Genomic DNA, 20,552 nt, shown 5'->3' on the forward strand with positions numbered 1-20,552 from the left:
AGGAGATCGAGACCATTCTGGCTAATACGGTGAAACCCCGTCTCTACTAAAAATACAAAAAAATTAGCCGGGCACGGTGGTGGGTGCCTGTGGTCCCAACTACTCAGGAGGCTGAGGCAGGAGAATGGCGTGAACCTGGGAGGCAGAGCTTGCAGTGAGCCGAGATCATGCCACTGCACTCCAGCCTGGGCAACAGAGCGAGACTCCATCAAAAAAAAAAAAAAAAAAAAAAAAGGAGCACACTTGACCAGCTTAAATATTACAGAGAAAGGAAAGGAAGAATTTAATGTAGATTAAGTTATATTAATTATTACATATATTATTTACTATGTACTTGTACTTCTATCACATCCTTTATTAATATTTTAGCAATTCAGGTCTTAACAATGTTGAAATCTTATTTGAATGAACAAGGTATATAGATACCTAATATTAAGGGGAGTGATGGGTGCAGACATTTGTAGAACAAAGATACATCATTCGAAGGCTTCTGACCAGGCTTAACTGAAAGCTGGTTTGGACAGATGGCCAAGGAGAAAAGTCATTTTACGTATGAGGGAGAGAAAAGTCCATCAGGAAAGCTGGGGATTAGAGAAAACGAGCTTTTGATAGACAACTGTCAGCAAACTGGAGGACAGAGTAATTTTAGGGTTAAACAGCAGTAAAATTAATTAGAAGGTTTTGAAATGTGACTCAGAACAGCAATACAAAGCCCTAAAACTACCCACTGCTCCTCATCATCATCCAAGTGTCATTGGAGCTAAGCAGAAATACAACCACAGTCATGCTTGGAGCTCTGGAGAGTTCTTAAGCACTGTGTTATGTCTTCTCTTGTCTAAGGAGAGTGGAACAGGGGCTTGTGCTTACAGCCCTGACCATGTCCCACTGCTGCTGAGGCACTAAATGATATGTTCCTTTTCGAGTTTTTCTTATGCAGTCTGGAAAAGAAATGTTGATTTACAGATAAGATGCAGTCATACCACTTGTGTACATTGTATCTTCTCAAGATATTTTGAAGACAAGAGAGGGGAAGGGGAAGGGGAAGACAGGAACAGGAGGAAAGCCAGCAAAAATTCATGCTCAGCATACAACAGAGTCTTGCAAAATGCAGGCGGTGAATGTTACGTGCGCTCACCACAAAAATGGTAACTGGGAGGTAATACATTTGTTTATTAGCTAGATTCAACTATCTCCTTCAAAACAACATGGTGTGCCCAACAAAAACACGCAATGATATGTCCATTTAAATAGCTAAATACCTAAATAAATACCAACTCCCCCCTCTCCAAAAAAAAGCCCCAAACTGAAGATGGGCTTTCTGTTGATCAGCCCCAGTGCTATGAGCTGGAAAAACAGGCAGCTTCCTTGGTTTTCTTTCAGGGGTTTGAATGAGAGATGGAGAGAAGCAATATGACCTGATATCGGAACTCCTTCCCAGCTCTCCCTTCCAGGAATCTGTGCTTCTGCAGCCAAGACTCCAGGTGTCATGCGCTCCACACCCTTGGGAATGAACCCACCATGCAGGGCTTTGTGTGCCCCTGCTCCCTGCTCTGACTTCCTCAGGTCCTGCTTGGAGATCATGCTGCTGTCCCTGCTAAAACTCTTTAGTGTCTTCTTGTTGGCCCTGGGGTGAAATCCCAACGCCTCCCGATGGCCTCCGAGGTGCTTGCAACCTCATGCTGCCCACCCTGCCACCACACTGTGCTCACTTTTCCCTCTAGCTCATGCTACTCTAGCCAACACTGGCCTCTGGTTGGTTCTAGAACATTCCAGATCCTCTCCCTCTGAGGGCCATTGCACCTGCTGTGCCCGTGTCTGGAACATTCTTTACATGGCTTTTCATGTAGCCAGCACCTTTTCATCCTTCTGCTCTTGGTTTCAGTGTTGTCTCTCCAGAGGGTCCTTTCCTGATCTCTTATCTAAAGCAGCCCCATCACCACTATTAGCCCCCATCGCAGTCCTCCTTTGGTTTTCTGCCTGGTATTCCTATTTTGTTTATGCGTCTCCTTACTTATTTATCTCTACCTTCAAGAATGTGAGCCACAGGAGGGCTCCTTGGTCATCGCTGTATTCCCTCACTTCCAGCCCTGCAGAGAGCCTGCACCTCCTCCTGGCTGTAAGCATTAATAGCTGCTAAACACACCCTGGTCCAGGTACTGTGCTGAGCCCCTGATATCTCATTTAATCCATATATTATCTGGCCCATGGATATTATTTTTTTAATCCCTATTTAAAAGAGGAAACCAAGACACAGCAGGGTCAAATGACCTGCCCAAGGTCATGCCATCCATGACAGTGTCCGGGTGGTTTTGCTTTAGAATTTGTGCTCTTAACCACTGTGTGGCGCTACCAGACCTTACAGGATGGTCAAGCAATATTGACGGAGTGTTTGCTGCAGGTGCTGTGCTAAGTGCTGAATACATTACATGTTGAGCAGATGAATACGTGAAAGAATAAGTGAATTTGAGGAGCATGCGGCAGGCACTGCCCCTTTTGCTTCGGGCTTTCTGCTCCTTCCTGGGTGATACACGTCCCACATCTTTCTCCAGCACCATGACTTGCCAGGGAGCATGGATGAAACTGAGAAGGCGCTGGATGGAGGTTTTCTAAGATGTGTGCCTAATTTAAAAGGGGCCGGGAGTCAAAGTCCCCTGGAGAGAACTAAGGGGGGTGGATGGACAATGGCAGTATTGGAAATGTGACAGCAATGGCCTTGGAGCCTGCAGATTTCCCCAAAGAGAAAATCCAATTAGATGGACTATCTTACGTCAGCAAATGAAAACAGAAGGTGAATGCATAATTTCATGAGAACATTCTTTTTCTCTGCTTATTAGATTAGGCGATCTAACAAGGCACTCTGCTTCTCTCAATACCAGGAAGTAAAATGCATTTTAACTGTGCCAGGAGTTGATTTTGCTATTTGCCGTTTGTTGTGGGATGACACGTGACACCTAAATATTCTCTCATTTAAACAATATCTAGCATGCTGCACAATGGGAATAAGATGCTCCAGGAGGCCCCACTGCTGAAGGACACAGACCCAGAGTGGTCAGGGCTCCATGACAGGGACACGCCCAAAGCACTGCTGGAGCCCCAGGAAAGGCTTCCAACCCAGAAGTCAGCCTGGGGAGGGGGTGCCCAAGGGAGCCGGGAAAGATGGGGAAGAATGAGCTGCGCTGGTGGGGAAAAGGTGAGGAGAGGAATGGGAAATGGGGAGGAGAGCATTCCAGCGAGAGGGGACTGCATCCTCAAAGGCATGGGGGTGCAGAAACAGCATGCTAGCGGGCAACGCGCAGAGGGGAGGGGAAATGACACGGATGCCAGGTGGTCAGGGCGCAGGGCCTGAGGCAGGGAGACCCGCTGCTGCTGAGACAGGCAGGCTGGGGACAGAACCTACATGCTGCCCAATGCTGCTGACTTTATCCTGTGCCATGCAGAGCCGCCAAACACGGAAGGGACCTGAGCAGACACAAGCTTCAGAGCCACAGGTGGTTCTGACAGCCACACAGATGAGACTTGGAGGGGAAAGAGAAAAATACAGGCTCCAGGAAGGTTAGCAAGGAGGCTGGTGTGAGCGTCCATACAGAGCACCAGGCCAGGACACAACTGGATGGGAAATTCAGGGGGGCCCAGAATCAGGAACTGCGTAACAGACTGAGGACTCTTGCGTGATGTCAACAGAGATGGGTCACTCATAAAGGAGAGAAGAGACATGAGTTCAGTCTTAGCCATGGATGTAGTTTAGATACTTGTCCCCACTCAAATCTCACATTGAATTGTAATCCCCAAAGCTGGAGGTGGGGTCTGGTAGGAGGTGTTTGGATTGTGGGGGCGGATCCTTGATGGCTTGGTGCTGTCTTCGTAAGAATGAGTTTTTGCAAGATCTGGTCAATTAAAAGCATGTGGCACCTCCTCCTCCCACCCCTTCCTCTCACTTTCTCCCGCTTTCATCATACGAGGTACATGTTTCCACTGCACCTTCCACCATGACTGCAAGCTTTCTGAGGCTTCCCCAGAAGCTGAGCAGATGCCGATGCTATGCTTCCTGTAAAGCCTGCAGAACCGTGAGCCAATGAAACCTTTTTTCTTTGTAAATTACCAAGTCTCAGGTATTTCTTCATAGCAACGCAAGAATGTCCTAATCCAGCCATGCTCAGTGCTGAGAGCTGTTCTCTTTCTTGGACACGTCATGGGAGCAGGTGACTCCTACGGTTTGGAGACACATGGTGTCCACCCTCATTTAGAGAGGACAAGTAGACTCCCATCCTTTTTGGCCGAGTACTGTATTTTCTGATTTCAAAATCTTTGGACATACTGGCTGAAAACGAGTATTTAGAATTTGCATGAAAATATTACCATGTAGGTAAAGTTCTTCCTGATAAAATGTCCTGCATTTCTGAAATGATTTGAGTATTGACTCAAAACATGAATGACCTCCAAATTGCTTTCAGATCAATATTGAAATTATCCAACTTTAACTTTACCCTTATATAATTTAGTTACACAGTTTGAATGAGATGGATTTCATTAAGATAACATATGTTACACTCCAAAGCATGGGAGAGCTGAAAGAAACCCCCCGGCCCCAGAAGTGAATCAGCCTTTCTCTTGTGTTCTGCCAGGATTCTGTAACAAGACTTTCCCTATTCGGCCTTATTTCTTGTTTACTTGTCTTCCTCCCACACTGGGTTGAGCTAAAAAGCAGAAACAACACCTCTAAACCTAGCACAATGCCTAGCATAGAAGAAGTGCTTCATAAATAAACGAATGAGAAACTGAATCATTATCATAGAAACGCAACCCAATCTGGATAGAATGTGTCAGAACTAGTTGGATCAATTAAAAATAAAAGAAATATGCTTCAAATTGCTTACACTGATCATACAGGGGGTATGGGGTGGGGACAATCTCATTCATTCCTTCATTATTTCAAGAATTCTGAATGTTCTCCGGTCATCCAGTTCAATGCTGACAACATGTTATCAATTTCAAACTGCTTAAATGAGGGAAACAGGGAAAGAAAAGTAAGAGATTGGCATCAATTACTTAGAATATGAAAAAACTCATTGATGACATGTCAACTTTTTCCTATTATTTCTTTGAAGACCATACGTATTGTTGGAGGGTTTAATTATTCTGTACAGCATATTCATGCCATGCCAAAGTGTCACAAGACAGTTCTTGTTTGTCAATTAACACCAGCAGGCAGTATAGATACTCTTTGCAATTAAATCATGCCAGGCAATGTAGGCTTCAGTGATTTCTTCTTCCTGGTGGATCCATTTGGTATTCGAACAAAGCATCCAACCGAGTTTTTTGCTGAAGATTTACTTTATCATGTCATCATTCCACAAATTACAAAATCATTCATATGTAAATTTGGGTAATGGATTTCTTTTATTAGAATGTGGAAATACAGCTACAAATACTTTCATATGTGGGACTAAGGGCCAAGAGCTTTAACAAAACATAGCACCGAATAAAGATCATAATTAAAAATCATGATCAGGATTTTCCAAGTTACTAAAATGATATCCTTTAATGAAAACTGTCCATTCCACAATCACAGGTAAATAAATATAGAGAAAAGATCTGGAAGGCAAACGGTATGCACCCAGACCGGACCCTGCATCCTCTGAAAACACTCACTCTGGTTTTCAGCAGAAACTCTAGACTAGCTGGAATCATGAAGATCTTCATGCTGCTATCATTGGCTTTTCTGGACTATTTTATGAAAAGATCAGACAGTTGAAAGATTCTCTGTAAAACCAGTATACTGAGGTATAAAATAAGAGGAGAAAAATGAAAAAGAAGTATCGAAGACATCTGGTATTTCTCACATCTCAACTTTGCTCAAACTTCTTTCAGAACCTTGTCTTTGCAAATATTTATGCTTCTTTTTTATGGCACAAGTTATCACAGCCTGGTAAAGAACTCATGGTCTGGGTTCTCATCTTAAAGAATGAAAGCAAAGCATCGCGGCCACCACCCTCAATGCCTTGCCCTCATCATCTTGCCATCTTCCTCCTGCCCCTGTTCATTGTTTGCTCACAGGGTGTCAGGCCTTGGGGCATTCACTTTTTTTTTTGAGACTGAGTCTCTCTCTGTCACCCAGGCTGGAGTGCAGTGGTGCGATCCCGGCTCACTGCGACATCTACCTCCCAAGCTCAGGCAATTCTCCTGCCTCAGCCTCCTGAGTAGCTGGGATTACAGGCACACACCATTACGCCTGGTTAATTTTCCGTAGTTTTAGTACAGATGGGGTTTCGCCATGTTGGCCAGACTGGTCTTGAACTCCTGACACCTATCTCAGCCTCCCAAAGTGCTGGGATTACAGGCGTGAGCCACGGTGCCCAGCCGGGGGCATTCGCTTTTGATACGCACTTCCTTACTTTATCTTGAAAGAGACTCTGCAGGGTAAGGACTGTAATTGCCTGCTTGATAAGGAAGAGGAAGCACTCAGAGAGGTTAAGTGACTTGTCCAAAGCCACACAGCTGAGCCCTGGAGACTAAACTTGACTCTATTTAGCTCCAAAGACCACCTGTTCCTAACCACTGGTGGACACTGCCTTCCCAGGAAGCAGCATCAGCATATGGTTCTGACGGTCTGAAAAATAAGCAGCAACAAACCAAATTCCGTATTTTTCTGAAATATTTTTTCCTCCATGTTGGAAGAGACACTTGAAAACGGTGCTACGCTATTTCTCTTCACACGCAATTCAATTTTGTTACAAAATCCAAATTATTTTTGGATATAATTTCAGTATTTTGGGATCCTAACTATTTAAACTGTACATCTGTAAGAACAATGGAGCACGTACATTCCATTTTTCTTTTGTTATTCTCCATTTACTAAAAGATTCAAAATGATCAAAACAACTTTTGTTTTCCCCTGGAATAAAAAAAGCTTCCTTTGCCCAGCTCTTTCTCATTTAGTTTCACAAACTATATTAAATAAAACTGCTGATACAGCATTTTGGAAGCTGTAGGGGACAACAAAGTTTCCTGCAAAATAACTTCTTAATATACTGCTTCACTATAAGTCACAAATACACAGAATTTTGGGTCCAATCATGTGACACACTGAGACATGCTGTTATGATTGTCTTTTGGGACTGTTCAGATGAGCCTATCTGTTCATGAGCGAAGAGTTCACAGACAGCCTTTTGGACTGCTGCAGACTCAGTGGAGGTCTCTATAAGAACAGGAGGGCTGACTTGTCCACTGGCTGAAATGTATGAGCAGGTGGAAACTGATGGGTTTCCACCTTTGCAGCTCTCCAGCTGGCATGAGACTCAGTCTTAAGGCTTTGGGCTGTTTTCTCCCCTTTCAAATGACTAGATACAGTTTGCAAGTCTTGGATGAGGACTTACATACCATTTCAGGCAGGTTTCTTTTTTTTTGTTTTTTGTTTTTTTTGAGACGGAGTCTCGTTTTATCACCAGGCTGGAGTGCAGTGGCGCGAGATCTCGGCTCACTGCAACCTCCACCTCCCGGTTTAAGTGATTCTCCTGCCCCAGCCTCCCGCGTAGCTGAGACTACAGGCATGTGCCACCACACCCAGGTAATTTTTGTATTTTTAGTAGAGATGGGGTTTCACCATATTGGCCAGGATGGTCTCCATCTCTTGACCTTGTGATCCGCCCGCCTCGACCTCCCAAAGGCATGAGCCATCATGCCCGGCCTCAGGCTGTTTTTAATGTGTCATGATTGCCTTCCTAGTATAAGATCTATCAAGTTTCAGTAGCACAATTTTAAGAACAAAAAAATAGGGCCTCAGATACAGGGGAAAAGTTGTAAACCTGATAAACGATTACTTCCACTGACAGTAAAGCCCCACGCCCACTTCTCTCAGAATGAATCGCAAGGGTAGATTTAGTAGGTCAGCTTACGTTGCATTCTTCAAACGTTTCTACCAACACAGGTAAAACAGTCATTTCTCTTAAACTTCAAAATTTTCCTTCTTCCTTTCAGAAAACAAGAGTTGGCTGTAACAGTAGCAACAGCATCAGTCACTAAGTAGCATCAGTCACTAACGTTCATTTGAGCTCCTCCTAAGCAAAGGCACTTTACGTGTATTTTTAAATTTAACTTTTACAACAATTTTGGCAGGTAGGTACTTATTTGTATATGAGACACTGGAGGCAAAGAGAGGTTAGGCAACTTTGCCGGGGTCACACAGCTGGCACTGTGTAGGCATTTTGACTTCAGAGCTCTTATTGCTATACTTATACAACTTCTATTTCCCCTTAATCTGACTTTTGCCTTTTCTGCCCATATTCCTTTAAAGGGACAACTATACTTAATGTAGCAATCTCTGTCTTTGAAAGAAATTATAAAGAATTTGGAGTGAGTTGGGTGAATCTATTTCCCACTTATTGCCATGGGTCAAAACTGAAAGGAACAACGAGGAACTGCATAAATCAGGATTCTGTTTGCCTCTAGTGTGGAGAATAATCACCTTAGTCATTTTATGTGTATCAGTTCATACTATTCCATGCGTAAAGGTGCATGAAATATTCAATAATGCGAGTGAACGATCAAACTCATTTATATTTATTCATTAGTGCCACATACCACCCGCAAATAGTCTATAGACTAGAAGCAAAGTGAACCTCGAATTCATTTTCTAATTGCCCTTCTTGCCCTGGACTGCAAGTGGTATTTATTAGCCACTGCTCATTAAGCATCCACATGGTCTATGATGTGGGAGGACACGTGACAACTGGTGAGTCTTTAAATCTTTATAATGACACTATGAGTTGGTATATGGCCATTTTATAGATATAGGAATTGAGGCTCAGAAGTGTTAAGAAATGTGTTCAAGGCCACACACTCTTACAGCGGCAATGGGCTTGGGTTGTCACATGCTAACATATCTTACACCCAGCCCTTGGTCACATGCATGTTGGATAGGAAAGCATACCTTTCTCCCTTCCTGTCCCAGAAAATTCTTGGTTGATTATTTTAAGGAATGTATTTACCTAACTGATTAACTGAACCTCATGTACAAAAATATTCAAGTGGAGAGAGGTGCCTTTTCAGCTGGGCTAACTGATGGGGTCTTTCTTACTCACTTCTGAGGCCAGTTCCTGGATCCGAAAGACTTTCAGTCAGTATCTGCAGAATGTTTGGGCTGATACATTTCTCAGTAATAAAATGTGGACAAGAAGACCAAACTACCTTCAAAATATATCTCTAGCAGTAGTATAGCAACAGTGGAAGAACAAATCTCATTCTGCCATTTTCTTCTTTTATGACTTTGAATATGAAATCCGACCTCATGCTGGAGTTTCCTCATATAAAATGAGAATGATAGTGCCTGCCTCACAGGGACACTATATGGGAAGTTAATATATGCTATAGATGATAAACATGCCGAACCCATATTATGTACTCAGCAAATGGAAGCAATTATTATTATTAATAAGTCCGCTGGCTTCCATTCGTCTCACCTACCATTTCTCCGGTCCCAGCCACCATTTCCCCTCACCTAACCTTCCATAATAGATTAGCCAGACTCCTGTTTTCACTCTTGAAACATTTAGGTCTGTTTTTCATACACCAGCCAGTGTGAAGTTTTTAAAACGAAAACGGATCATGTCACTTCTCCACTTAAAACACTGCACTGCTCCTTACAGAACCCAGAGCAGAATTCTAATTCCTTAGCGCACGGCCAGGCGCGGTGGCTCACACGGGAATCCTAGCACTTTGGGAGGCTGAGGCGGGCGGATCACTTGAGGTCAGGAGTTCGAGACCAGCCTGGCCAACATGGTGAAACTCCATCTCTACTAACAATACAAAAATTAGCCGGGTATGGTGGCACGTGCCTGTAATCCCAGCTACTCAGGAAGCTGAGGCAGGAGATTTGTGTGAATCCGAGAGGCAGAGATTGTAGTGAGCCGAGATCGCACCAGTGCACTCCAGCCTGGGCCACAGAGTGGGACTCCGTCTCGAAAAAAAACCCAAAAAGCAAAAAACACATTCCTTAGTGTGGACCAGGCCCACCCCCTCTACCTGCTCAATTCATCCCACTTAGGCTCTGTGGCCTCCCTTTGGTTTCCCAAGTCCACCACCCTTCTTATCTTGGTCTGGAACATTCTTCCCACTTTCTCTGCCTCGCCAACTCTTAGTAACCCCCATCCAAAATGACAGTATCTGCAGCAATCTTCCCTGCCTGCCCCTTCCTAAATGCGGTTCTCCTTGTTCGCTGCTCTCGCAAGGTTCTGCCCTGTTCCTTGAGCACATAGTGCCATTTCTCATTTATTTGCTCTGTCATTTGAGGTATGTTTCCCCCATTAGGGCAGAGTCTGTCTGGGTCCCTCCCCAGCCCTTACATTAATGTCTGGAACTTAGTAGATGCTCAATAAACACTTGTAGAATGAATGGAATAACTGAGAATGAGAAAAATATGGCAAAAGCACTCATACATAATAGAATCATTATTGACTTGCTGCTATTTTAGGATATGAGGACTTCTTTCTACTCTAAAAAAAATAAAATAAAATAAAACCACCAACACCACCCAATCCCACAAAACACTGACTGGTAAAAGACACGTTGATCCTTAGAAGTTCTACCACCTAAAATATATCTGTTTTTTAGTTCATAAGGTAGAATAGAAAATATACTTTACAAGATACATCTTCAAATGGCATTTCCTTAACTTCCAGAATTAAAAAAAAGTTCAGCCGACTTATTTGGAACCATTGAACCAAATACCTTTGACTCCTTGGACACACAGCTTTACACTTTAAAAATAAAATGACCTGGTGTATGCGTGTCCCCTCCTCACACCAGCTGGTATCTCAGAGTCTTCTGATGTAGATTGGCATCTTCCGCCTAGCCCAAAGCAGGGGGTCCTGCAAGATATCGGGGCTGATGACCTTGTAAGTGGTTTCACAGAAAGCTGGATGCATTTCAGCCTGTTTCCTTTACCCACCCAGCTCGGTGAAGAACTTGTATTAATTGGTGCTTTGAGGCAGAAGGGGATTTTCTTGGCCGTGGCGGAAGCCAGCCAGCCAGCCAGCTCCCTGGCAGACTTGCAGACTGGCCAGCTGAGCTCTCTTAAAAATTGACCTACATTGAACCAAACCCGTAGAATGTGTGTTAGATCAAATTTGCTCCTCTCTGCTTGCTCAGAGAGGGTCATGCTCTGCAAATTTCCATACCATCGTGGCCAGGAGACAGACACCAGCAGGGATCCGGGGCGGCGAAGAGGACCTTCACTTTCTGAAGTGTTCTAAATTGGCCCACGGAGCAGTTCAATTCCTCTTGCTGAGGCTACCATGAAATGTGCCTGGATTTTGAAATGGATGTGTTTTTCCTTTAAAAAAAAAAAGAGGGCGGGGGGGGAGTCCCTGTGTGTGAACCCAGGTGTACAGAGGCATAATCAGTTAAAGCACACCCTCTTTTCTGCGAAGGCCCACTGAGTTTGCCTGCTCCAATCCCCTAGGCTGAGTCAGGAGGATCCAAAAAAAGCCATGGGTTGTGCCAGCCCCATGCAGACACCACTGCCTGCAACAGAGCTGTTAGAAAAGCACCGTGTCTGGGACAAGGAAGGATTGTAAAATATAAAATTGTAAAATAAAACCATTAATCCCATCTGAATTCTCGCTGTTGGGTTCTTTATATGAAGTAGTCTTCTGTTTTCTTTGTTTTAAAGAAACTACAACAAGAAGTACTTGTAATACCCATGCTGAATATTTCTGTTTCCCAGTAACGATTCTCCAAGTGCTTAGTTGATTTACTATCTGATCAGCAACTGGGCTTCAAAAAACAAAACAAAACAATACAAAACTGGGAGCATTTTACATTAAGATCTAATGCTGTCGAGAACCCTAGAGAAGAACCAAAGGACAGATGTCAGTGACAGTGGGCCATTCATTGATGGATTTCTCTCCAGGATAAAGGCCACACCAATCAATATTCTTACAGCTGGGCCTTTGAACTATTTGCTTCCTCCATATGGACTCTCCAAGGGTAAATTGACATTTTCCCCAGTGCCTTAATTTCTTATTCAATTCCAGCCTCCTAGGTTACAAAAGAGTTTGGCTAATTCTAACAGCTAATTTTCCATAAGCGCTTAAATAGTTTAGTCAGAATGATGGTTGGGAATATTTTAGGCGGCTTTCATTATGCTTCGGCTAGGCAGGGTAATTCTTATGAATTACCTTGTTGATTTAATTAAGTAATGCAATACACGACAAAATATTACCCTGGGTCATGAAAAATAGAGATCTTTAATAAGCATCATGGTCTCAAATTGTAAAATTACTTAAAAAACCGTGGCAGGGGTGGTTAGTTGGTTCATATTTGATTGAAGCAGTAATTCATTACATTTATGAAATCTTTAGAGTTCATTTGCTGTCCAGGCATTCTAACGTATTACTTACTTGGATTGCATTTTTAAAAAGCTGCTGGCATTAGGCAACAAGCAATCTTACAGCACTAGGCTAGAGTTAGCACCTTTTCCTTGTGGCTTGTTCACCGCTAAGTCTCCACGGTGTCTTGCGTATGGGACAAAACCAGATACCTACTCAATGCACCCATCCCAAAACATGACTTCACTTCTCTGGATGGGCTTTGGCCAGAAAAAGATGAACATGCTTCCAGTATTTCTGGCTTCCCAGTCGTGGATCTGTTACTCAGATGACACTGTTGTGGTTTCTTTAGAAAAGGAAAACAGAAGAATACTTCCTGTAAAAGGACCCAGCAAGTAGAATTCAGATGGGATTTATGGTTTCATTTTCACACAACAATCTTGCACGCAAAGTTGGGAATTAGGATGACATCATGTGTGCTGCTAAACTCATATTCTAGAAACATGCTCCAGAAAGGAGTTCTTCATTAGAAGCTGAAAGCTTTCCATGTGTCTGGGGAAAAAAATAGCTAATACGTTGAGGAGGAGGGAGGCCCAATTTAATGACTAAAAGATGTAATTTATAATGATCAGCCTCAGTAATCCCTCCTAAAAGTTTCATTTTAAAAAATACTATTATGATCTCCAAACTTACTGAATTAATCAACACTTCTTGGGGTCAGAAAACAATTATGTATTAAGTGCACTCCTGTACACTCAAAGACTGAGGCAATGGATCCAACCAGAAAGTAGATAAAATGTGGAGTTACTGTTCTTTATCTTTCCCATAAAGGCTGAGATTTCCAAAATTAAACAATCACATTTCAGTTCTCAATGGGTCAGAGCATTGTTTGACCTGGAACTTCAGACTCTGGTTATTAGAGGGTCCTGAGGAATCATTACTAATTTTCTTGGGTGTAACAATGGCACGGTGTGTTATTTTAAAATTTACAAGAAAAAAACAACCCCATCAAAAAGTGGGCGAAGGATATGAACAGATATTTCTCAAAAGAAGACATTTATGTTGCCAACAAACATACAAAAAAAAGCTCATCATCACTGATCATTAGAGAAATGCAAATCAAAACCATGATGAGATACCATCTCATGCCAGTTAGAATGGCAATCATTAAAAAGTCAGGAAACAACAGATGCTGGAGAGGATGTGGAGAAATAGGAATGCTTTTACACTGTTGGTGGGAGTGTAAATTAGTTCAACCATTGTAGAAGAAAAGTGTGGCGATTCCTCAAGGATCTAGAACCAGAAATGCCATTTGACCCAGCAATCCCATTACTGGGTATATACCCAAAGGATTATAAATCATTCTACTATAAAGACACATGCACACGTATGTTTACTGCAGCATTGTTCACAATAGCAAAGACTTGGAACCAACCCAAATGCCCATCAATGATAGACTGGATAAAGAAAATGTGGCACATATACACCATGGAATACTATGCAGCCATAAAAAAGGTTGAGCTCATGTCCTTTGTGGGGACATGGATGAAGCTAGAAACCATCATTCTTAGCAAACTAACACAAGAACAGAAAACCCACACCACATGTTCTCACTCATAAGTGGGAGTTGAACAATGAGAACACATGGACATAGGGAGGTGAACATCACACACTGGGGCCTGTCACAGGGTGGGAGGCTAGGGGAGGGATAGCATTAGGATAAATACCTAATGTAGATGATGAGTTGATGGGTGCAGCAAACCACCATGGCACGTGTATACCTATGTAACGAACCTGCACGTTCTGCACATGTACCCCAGAACTTAAAGTATAATAATAATAAAAACACAAATTGAAGTGTTAAGAGGAGCAATGGCATGAAGTCTGTTTGAGGTGACCTCAGAAAGGGGAGAACCACAGAAACAGCAAACGCGGCGAATCTTAACACCGGCTGAATCTGGGCTTCTCAACCTCAGCTCAGCTGACAATCGGTGCAGATGATTCTGTGCTGGGGGGCTGTCCTGTGTAATGGAGGGTGTTTAGCAATATCCCTGGCCTCCACCCCCAAGATGCCGGTAACTCTCTCCCAACCAAAACTGTCCCCAGACACAGCCAACTGTCCTCTGTGGGGCAAAATCACCCTCAGTTGAGAACTGCTGGTATGTAGGAGGGATTAATATACTATTTCCTCTTCTTTTGAATATAGATTTTTTTTTTAAGTTTCAGAGCGCAAGTTTTAAAGTCAATGGAGGAACAAAAGTGTGAAAAATCACAATGCTAATTCAGTCTCTTTTGTGGTTTGGAAAATCTTCCTGAGGAGTATAGCAGAGTCTGCCTGGGGCCCCGAGACCAGAGGCCCCAACTCCAGAGAATTTCTCAGGCCGGTCTGGGACCTTGGTGTCAGAAACCACCTCAGGCCAAGGGAGTCAGCATCGCAGGGGTCTGGGGGCTAGGAATGGGCATTTTTTTTTAAAGAGCATTAATATTTGGAAATAATTTCAAACTTACAGAAAAATTGCAAAAATAAAAATCATACAAACAACATATATATGCCTATACACCTTTTATCCAGATTCATCTGTTGTTGATTTTTTTTTTTTTTTTTTTTTTTTTTTTGAGATAGAGTCTCACTCTGTCACCAGGCTGGAGTGATCTTGGCTCACTGCAACCTCCCGCCTCCCGGTTTCAAGCCATTCTCCTGCCTCAGCCTCCTGAGTAGCTGGGACGATATTTTATTCCATTTGCTTTATACGTTGTTCCCCTCCTCCCCCTTCCCCCCACTGCCCACCTCCCAATCTTTACAAACACACAGAGTGTTTTTGCTAAACCATCTGAGGATAAGTGATATACACCATGGCCCTTTCCCACCAAATACTTCATTGCATATTTCCTATAAGCAGATATTCTCCTACGCATCATGGCCCGGCTATCCAAGTCGGCAAATGTCACATCCAGGCAGTTCCTCGCTTCTCAGCCACACTCAAGGCTGTCCCTGACCCAGCTGTGAGCTTTGCGGCATGTCTTTCCTCCTCCCAGGCCGAGTTCAGGGCCGGGGCTTGCATTAGGGTGTCGTGTCCATTTTCCCTATATTTTTATTAACAACTTTAAGACACTATTCCCGTACCAGACAACTGGCACACTGAAGATGTACAATTGCATGTTTTTTACCCTATTCAGGGTGGTGCCACCATCTACCACAAGATGATTTTAGGATATTCCATCTCCCCGTGCCCTTTACCCTATACTCACTACCCTTAGTCTCTTGGAATGAGACATTTCCACTGCTTTTATCTCCTATGATAATGACATATTTGAGGACCACAGTCCTCACCCCCCCTTTTTTTTTTTTTGAGACTGAGTCTCACTCTGTCACCCAGGCTGGAGTGCAGTGGCTTGATCTCGGCTCACTGCAAGCTCCGCCTTCCGGGTTCACGCCATTCTCCTGCCTCAGCCTCCCGAGTAGCTGGGACTACAGGCACCTGCCACCACGCCCGGCTAATTTTTTGTTTGCATTTTTAGTAGGGACGGGGTTTCACTGTGTTAGCCAGGATGGTCTCGATCTCCTGACCTCGTGATCCGTCCACCTCGGCCTCCCAAAGTGCTGGGATTACAGGCATGAGCCACCGCGCCCGGCCACCCATTTTTATTAAAACAATTTTGAGTTTGTCTGCTATTTCCTTGGGACCACCTTCAGAGCCAGAATCCTGCGAGAAGAGCCAGAAACAATGGCTTCACAAGGACCTGCAGCCAAGCTGAACAGCACAGCACACACGAGGAGGTGGTGTATTTACAAATAAGCGAAGAACGCTGCCGAGAGAAACACACAGCACCGGAAGACCAGTGTGCGTGGAGGCCACTGGGCCACACAGCCAGGTGCCAGGAGTTGCAACTCACCTCCACAATGGCCTGCCTGCTGGCGGGGCAACCTTACAAAATATTATTATTATTTACTCATAACAATAACAATTGCTCGGAAAATAAAACTCAAAACAGGCAAAACCATTGGAACACCAAGACGAGACTTCTACAGGTTTTATTTTAAACATATGTTTCTAAAACAGTCAGTGGTGAGTGCCAAAAAACACAGCATCAAGTCGATTTTCCTTTTTCTGTGTACATGACTTGCTTTGGAAACTGCCTATACATGCCCTACATTTTTTTCTCTCATCAAAAACAATCGAGGAATGGTACAAGGAGTTCTGAAGCATAACCTAGTCGTTTCATTCGAGTGGCGAGAGAGGGACGTGATGTGATGTGGGTGCCACGTAAGTGTCGTGCTGGGGGCAGTTGGGAAAGAGTCTGCTCGTTCCATCGGAATGCCCAGAAGAGCAGGGGCTTCCACTGCACTTTGCAAAACAAGCCCAGCCGGTGGCTGCCCTGCAAGCTGCTCTTGGAAGGAGGGGAAAGGCTCTCCCTTACCACTCTGGACTTCCCTGGGGGTTCAAGCCTCATGCAAGAGAGCCCAGTCAGCATTTAAGCCCCAGAGGCAGGTGTGATCTGCTGTTCCCCTCTTTTGGAAATATGGGTCTCGTAAGGTCTCTCCCTGAAGCTGTGTGATGGAAATCAACATTGTGTGTGTGCTAGCTCAGCATAAAGAAAGGCTGCCTCGCCCTCACCCTGCACACCACAGAGAAAGATCTGTTCCAAGAGAGTCAGGTCACTGCGATCCTCAGGGGGTCAGAGAACCAGGAGGCTAATAAAACAAAAGAGATCAGGCACTGAGTTCCGGGAAGTTACTGAGCACACATAACAACTGCAGAACGATCCCAAGTAAAGAATATTCTCAGGGACTCTGATGGAAAACATACCATGAATTAACATGCGTTCAAGGCCTTCTCTGGTCCTGCGGCCTTTGGCTCAAAGAGCTCACAGCTCACCAAGAGGGTAAACACTGCTCTCGGCCAAGGCCATGATTCAAAATGCTGGCTTTGGGATCCTTCAGGGTGGGATGCGTTATCATGAGGCCTCCTAGGGTATTCATTTATAGGTGATATGAAATAGAGTTTACCGTCATTTTAAATAAAGACACTAGGTGAAATTTAAGACACATTTCGAGGAGAGGAAATATAAAACCAGAAATGGCAAGACATTGCCATTGCAAGAACTCTGAATCACTCATCTAGGGCATAGTCTATCTTGTGCTCAGAATACGTAAATAGTTAAATCAAGTACATCCCATATTATTTGTATTTCACAGAGTAATACAATTCTTTTGTTTCAGTGGCATAGGAAGCAACAGTGTAACTAAAATATGATACTCTTTTAGCCTAAAAATAATGACCTTAAAAAATAAATTCAAATAAAAACTTAATTCCTAACGGCTCTGAACAAAATCTCTCATTGTCTCCCAAAGCGTGGAGACGTGTGTGGTTAAATGTCAGGTGACTCTTCCACGTGATGTCTGGGGACTGCAGGAGCTTCCCTCTAAGGGTTTACTGCCGAAGCCTGAGAGAGAGAAAAAGCATGGAGAGAAATTGGCAACTGGGACTCCTGAACTTTCAGAAAAGGGCTCCCTTCATTTGAAAAAGAGCTGCCCTGTTTGTATACAGCCATAGTGAATCTGTCATTGGGTCACCTTTTTAAGCAGGAGTGTGCCAAAGTGTATGTGTGTGTGCACATGTGCACACACACACACACGCACACACACACGGTTTCCTGGTCATAATACACTTGGTATTATTCATTTATGGCTGTACATGGCTGCAGGTGTGCTATAGGAAATGCTTATTAGAGCCTTTTATGAAAGGAGAGGCCAGGTTGTCAAGAAAAGACTAAGAAAAATGGACAATTACTTTACCAGGAGGAAAATAGAAGATAACATTAGATTGTAAATGGAAAAAAAAAAAGCAATGAGATGAGAAACAGGAGATTTGATGCCAGTGAGATGTGAAACACTGATAATTACAGAATAATGATGACGGCCACCGTTTATGGAACCCCTATGTGTCATGCTAATATTTAATAAGCACTCTCTCATTTAGTACTTAAAAAGACTTAGAAGGTCTCATGAATCTGACCATTTTGTGGAACAGACAACTAAGACACAAAGAGATTACATAGCTTAAGACCACACAGCTAATAAATTAGAGATACCAGACTGGGACCTAAATCAGTCTGACTCCAGAATCAGTTTCAAGGTTTCCTACTGAAGATTTGTGACGATGATAGGAATAGATTTTGTTTTGCTTGGTTTTGGTTATTTAAAAGACAAAAGTAAACAACATTTTGGTTTAAGAATGTGGGAAGAAAGCCCAGGGAAGAATGCGGATACAAATCGGCAAATGAACAACAACAAAAAAATGAATCCAATGCAGTGAATTCAAGATAAAGTTAAATAATACAATCAAGAGTTGCCCCTGCTTTCTTACATTGCAACAAAGAATGGGAATTAACTGCGGCTGAAGTCCTTCTTCACTATCAGGCTTTTGGCCAAAAAGAAAGGAAGGCTTTGCATTTGAATGGAGGTAGCTGGAGCGAGCAACGTGTCACTCAAGCCTCTGGCATCTTTGTTCAGCTTCATTAGGGAAGAATCTCCATGCGCTCATTTAACTTAGTTTATTAACCTCAATTCTGAATAAAATGTTAGTCTCTAACTCAATTTTGGAATTTTTTAAAACAGTAACCGGGAAAGTTTTGTGTTTTATTTATGTGATTGTTGATGTGAAAATGGCTGTGTCAATATCTTAGCATCTACATTAGACAAAGTCAATCATCACAGTCATTTAAAAACTCCCTTCTATATAAATGGGAACTATTCTCTTATGTAGAGAATAAACATGGTCTCAAACAGTCAAAAAAAAAAATCCCCATATTGTAGTTACAAAGCTTCTTACCAGAGGAATTTGGTTTGTGACACATGTGTTCTTCAAGTCACATTTTTTATAAAGAGAATTTTGCACCTTAAACTCAAATTAATAAAACAGGTAGGAAAATCGAGAAATACTTATATTTCCTTTTTGGCTTACCTTAGTCCTCATTGGAGGACATCTTTTTTTTTTTTTTTTTTTTTTTTGGATAAACATCTTTCAGATAGTTTTATAAGTAGCAATTGAAACATTACACAAATTGTCAAACTCTCTTTCATATAAAAGAGCAATATATTTCTTTGTATGCTTGTAAAAATAATTGTTTATTTCTTACTCTTTCTTTAATGAGATTGAAAGTACTAGAACACAACAGAAACAGGCTTCAGAGAGAAAAAAAATCAAAGGAGACAAAAAGATGAAACCAAAACTCTTCACAAAATGCTCTTGGAGGTACTTTGTAGAAAAGTAAACGAGCAAATGTCTCCATTGCATGTGAATGGGAAAACATAACACACAGCTGTCAAAATCCACTCAAGCAGGCCGGGCGCAGTGGCTCACGCCTGTAATCCCAGCACTTTAGGAGGCCGAGGTGGGTGGTTCACCTGAGGTCAGGAGTTCAAGACCAGCCTGGCCAACGTGGTGAAACCCCATCTCTATTAAAAATACAAAAATTAGCCAGGTGTGGTGGTGCATGCCTATAACCCCAGCTACTCGAGAGGCTGAGGCAGGAGAATTGCTTGAACCCAGGAGGCGGAGGCTGCGGTGAGCCAAGATTGTGCCACTGCACTCCAGCTTGGGCAACACAGTGAGACTCTTATCTTAAAAAAAGAAAGAAAAAAAAAAGAAGAAAAAGAAAATATCCACTCAAGCACTCAAGCAGTCCCTATCAACGTGACTGTAGTTTATTTCATGAACAAAAGCGGAGTGTGTGGGAATCTCCCATCAGCTGTGCCCAAAGTTTTCGTAAATATTGGTTAAGTGAAGCGGGTTAGCTGCTCCTCTTCCCCCTCTGCTGTTTGCTCTGGCACCTCTGTAGTTAGCATTAGAGCCGCTGCAGGTAACTGTGCTTTCAGTCTGTTTCAATTCTGGCTTCTTGTGTTTGCAATCAAGTCATCCCACAGGATACAATCAATCGGCACCACTTTCTTTACACATTGGGCTCAAAATGAGCTGGTCTGATTGGTCAGAACCAAATTTCTATTTCTTCCACCAAGAGTGGTAATGGCCACTCTGATAAAACAAAGTCAATTCTAGAGAGAAAGTTCATGCAATTTAGAACTGTTTTGCCCTTGTGAAGAAAAATGGGTCATACCTTTTGGATGCTAAAAAATGTTACTCAGCCACAGGTACTACCTGCCTGTCTTTTGACTATGTTCAACATTATGTAGGTGATCTTGGATTAATTTGTTAATTAATTCAATAA

At 42.9% G+C, this 20,552-nt stretch overlaps 1 protein-coding gene across 5 annotated transcripts in view, besides 2 other annotated features; it reads right to left on the minus strand.

Annotated features, from left to right (window-relative positions):
- ADAM12 (ADAM metallopeptidase domain 12) overlaps window positions 1–20,552 on the minus strand; it is a 376,087-nt gene that overhangs the window by 146,707 nt on the left and 208,828 nt on the right. The gene's annotated exons all lie outside the window — the stretch shown is intronic.
- Window positions 3,247–3,747: an enhancer, noted in NCBI's record as "H3K4me1 hESC enhancer chr10:127850913-127851413 (GRCh37/hg19 assembly coordinates)". NCBI's record gives its function as "activates a minimal SCP1, AML or CMV promoter by ChIP-STARR-seq in naive H9 embryonic stem cells {active_cell/tissue: H9 hESC(naive)}" and the evidence as "EXISTENCE:reporter gene assay evidence [ECO:0000049][PMID:30033119]".
- Window positions 15,503–16,026: an enhancer, noted in NCBI's record as "H3K4me1 hESC enhancer chr10:127863169-127863692 (GRCh37/hg19 assembly coordinates)". NCBI's record gives its function as "activates a minimal SCP1, AML or CMV promoter by ChIP-STARR-seq in naive H9 embryonic stem cells {active_cell/tissue: H9 hESC(naive)}" and the evidence as "EXISTENCE:reporter gene assay evidence [ECO:0000049][PMID:30033119]".

This window comes from Homo sapiens, chromosome 10 (genome assembly GCF_000001405.40).
Source record: "Homo sapiens chromosome 10, GRCh38.p14 Primary Assembly".
In the NCBI taxonomy this organism is placed as follows: domain Eukaryota; kingdom Metazoa; phylum Chordata; class Mammalia; order Primates; family Hominidae; genus Homo; species Homo sapiens.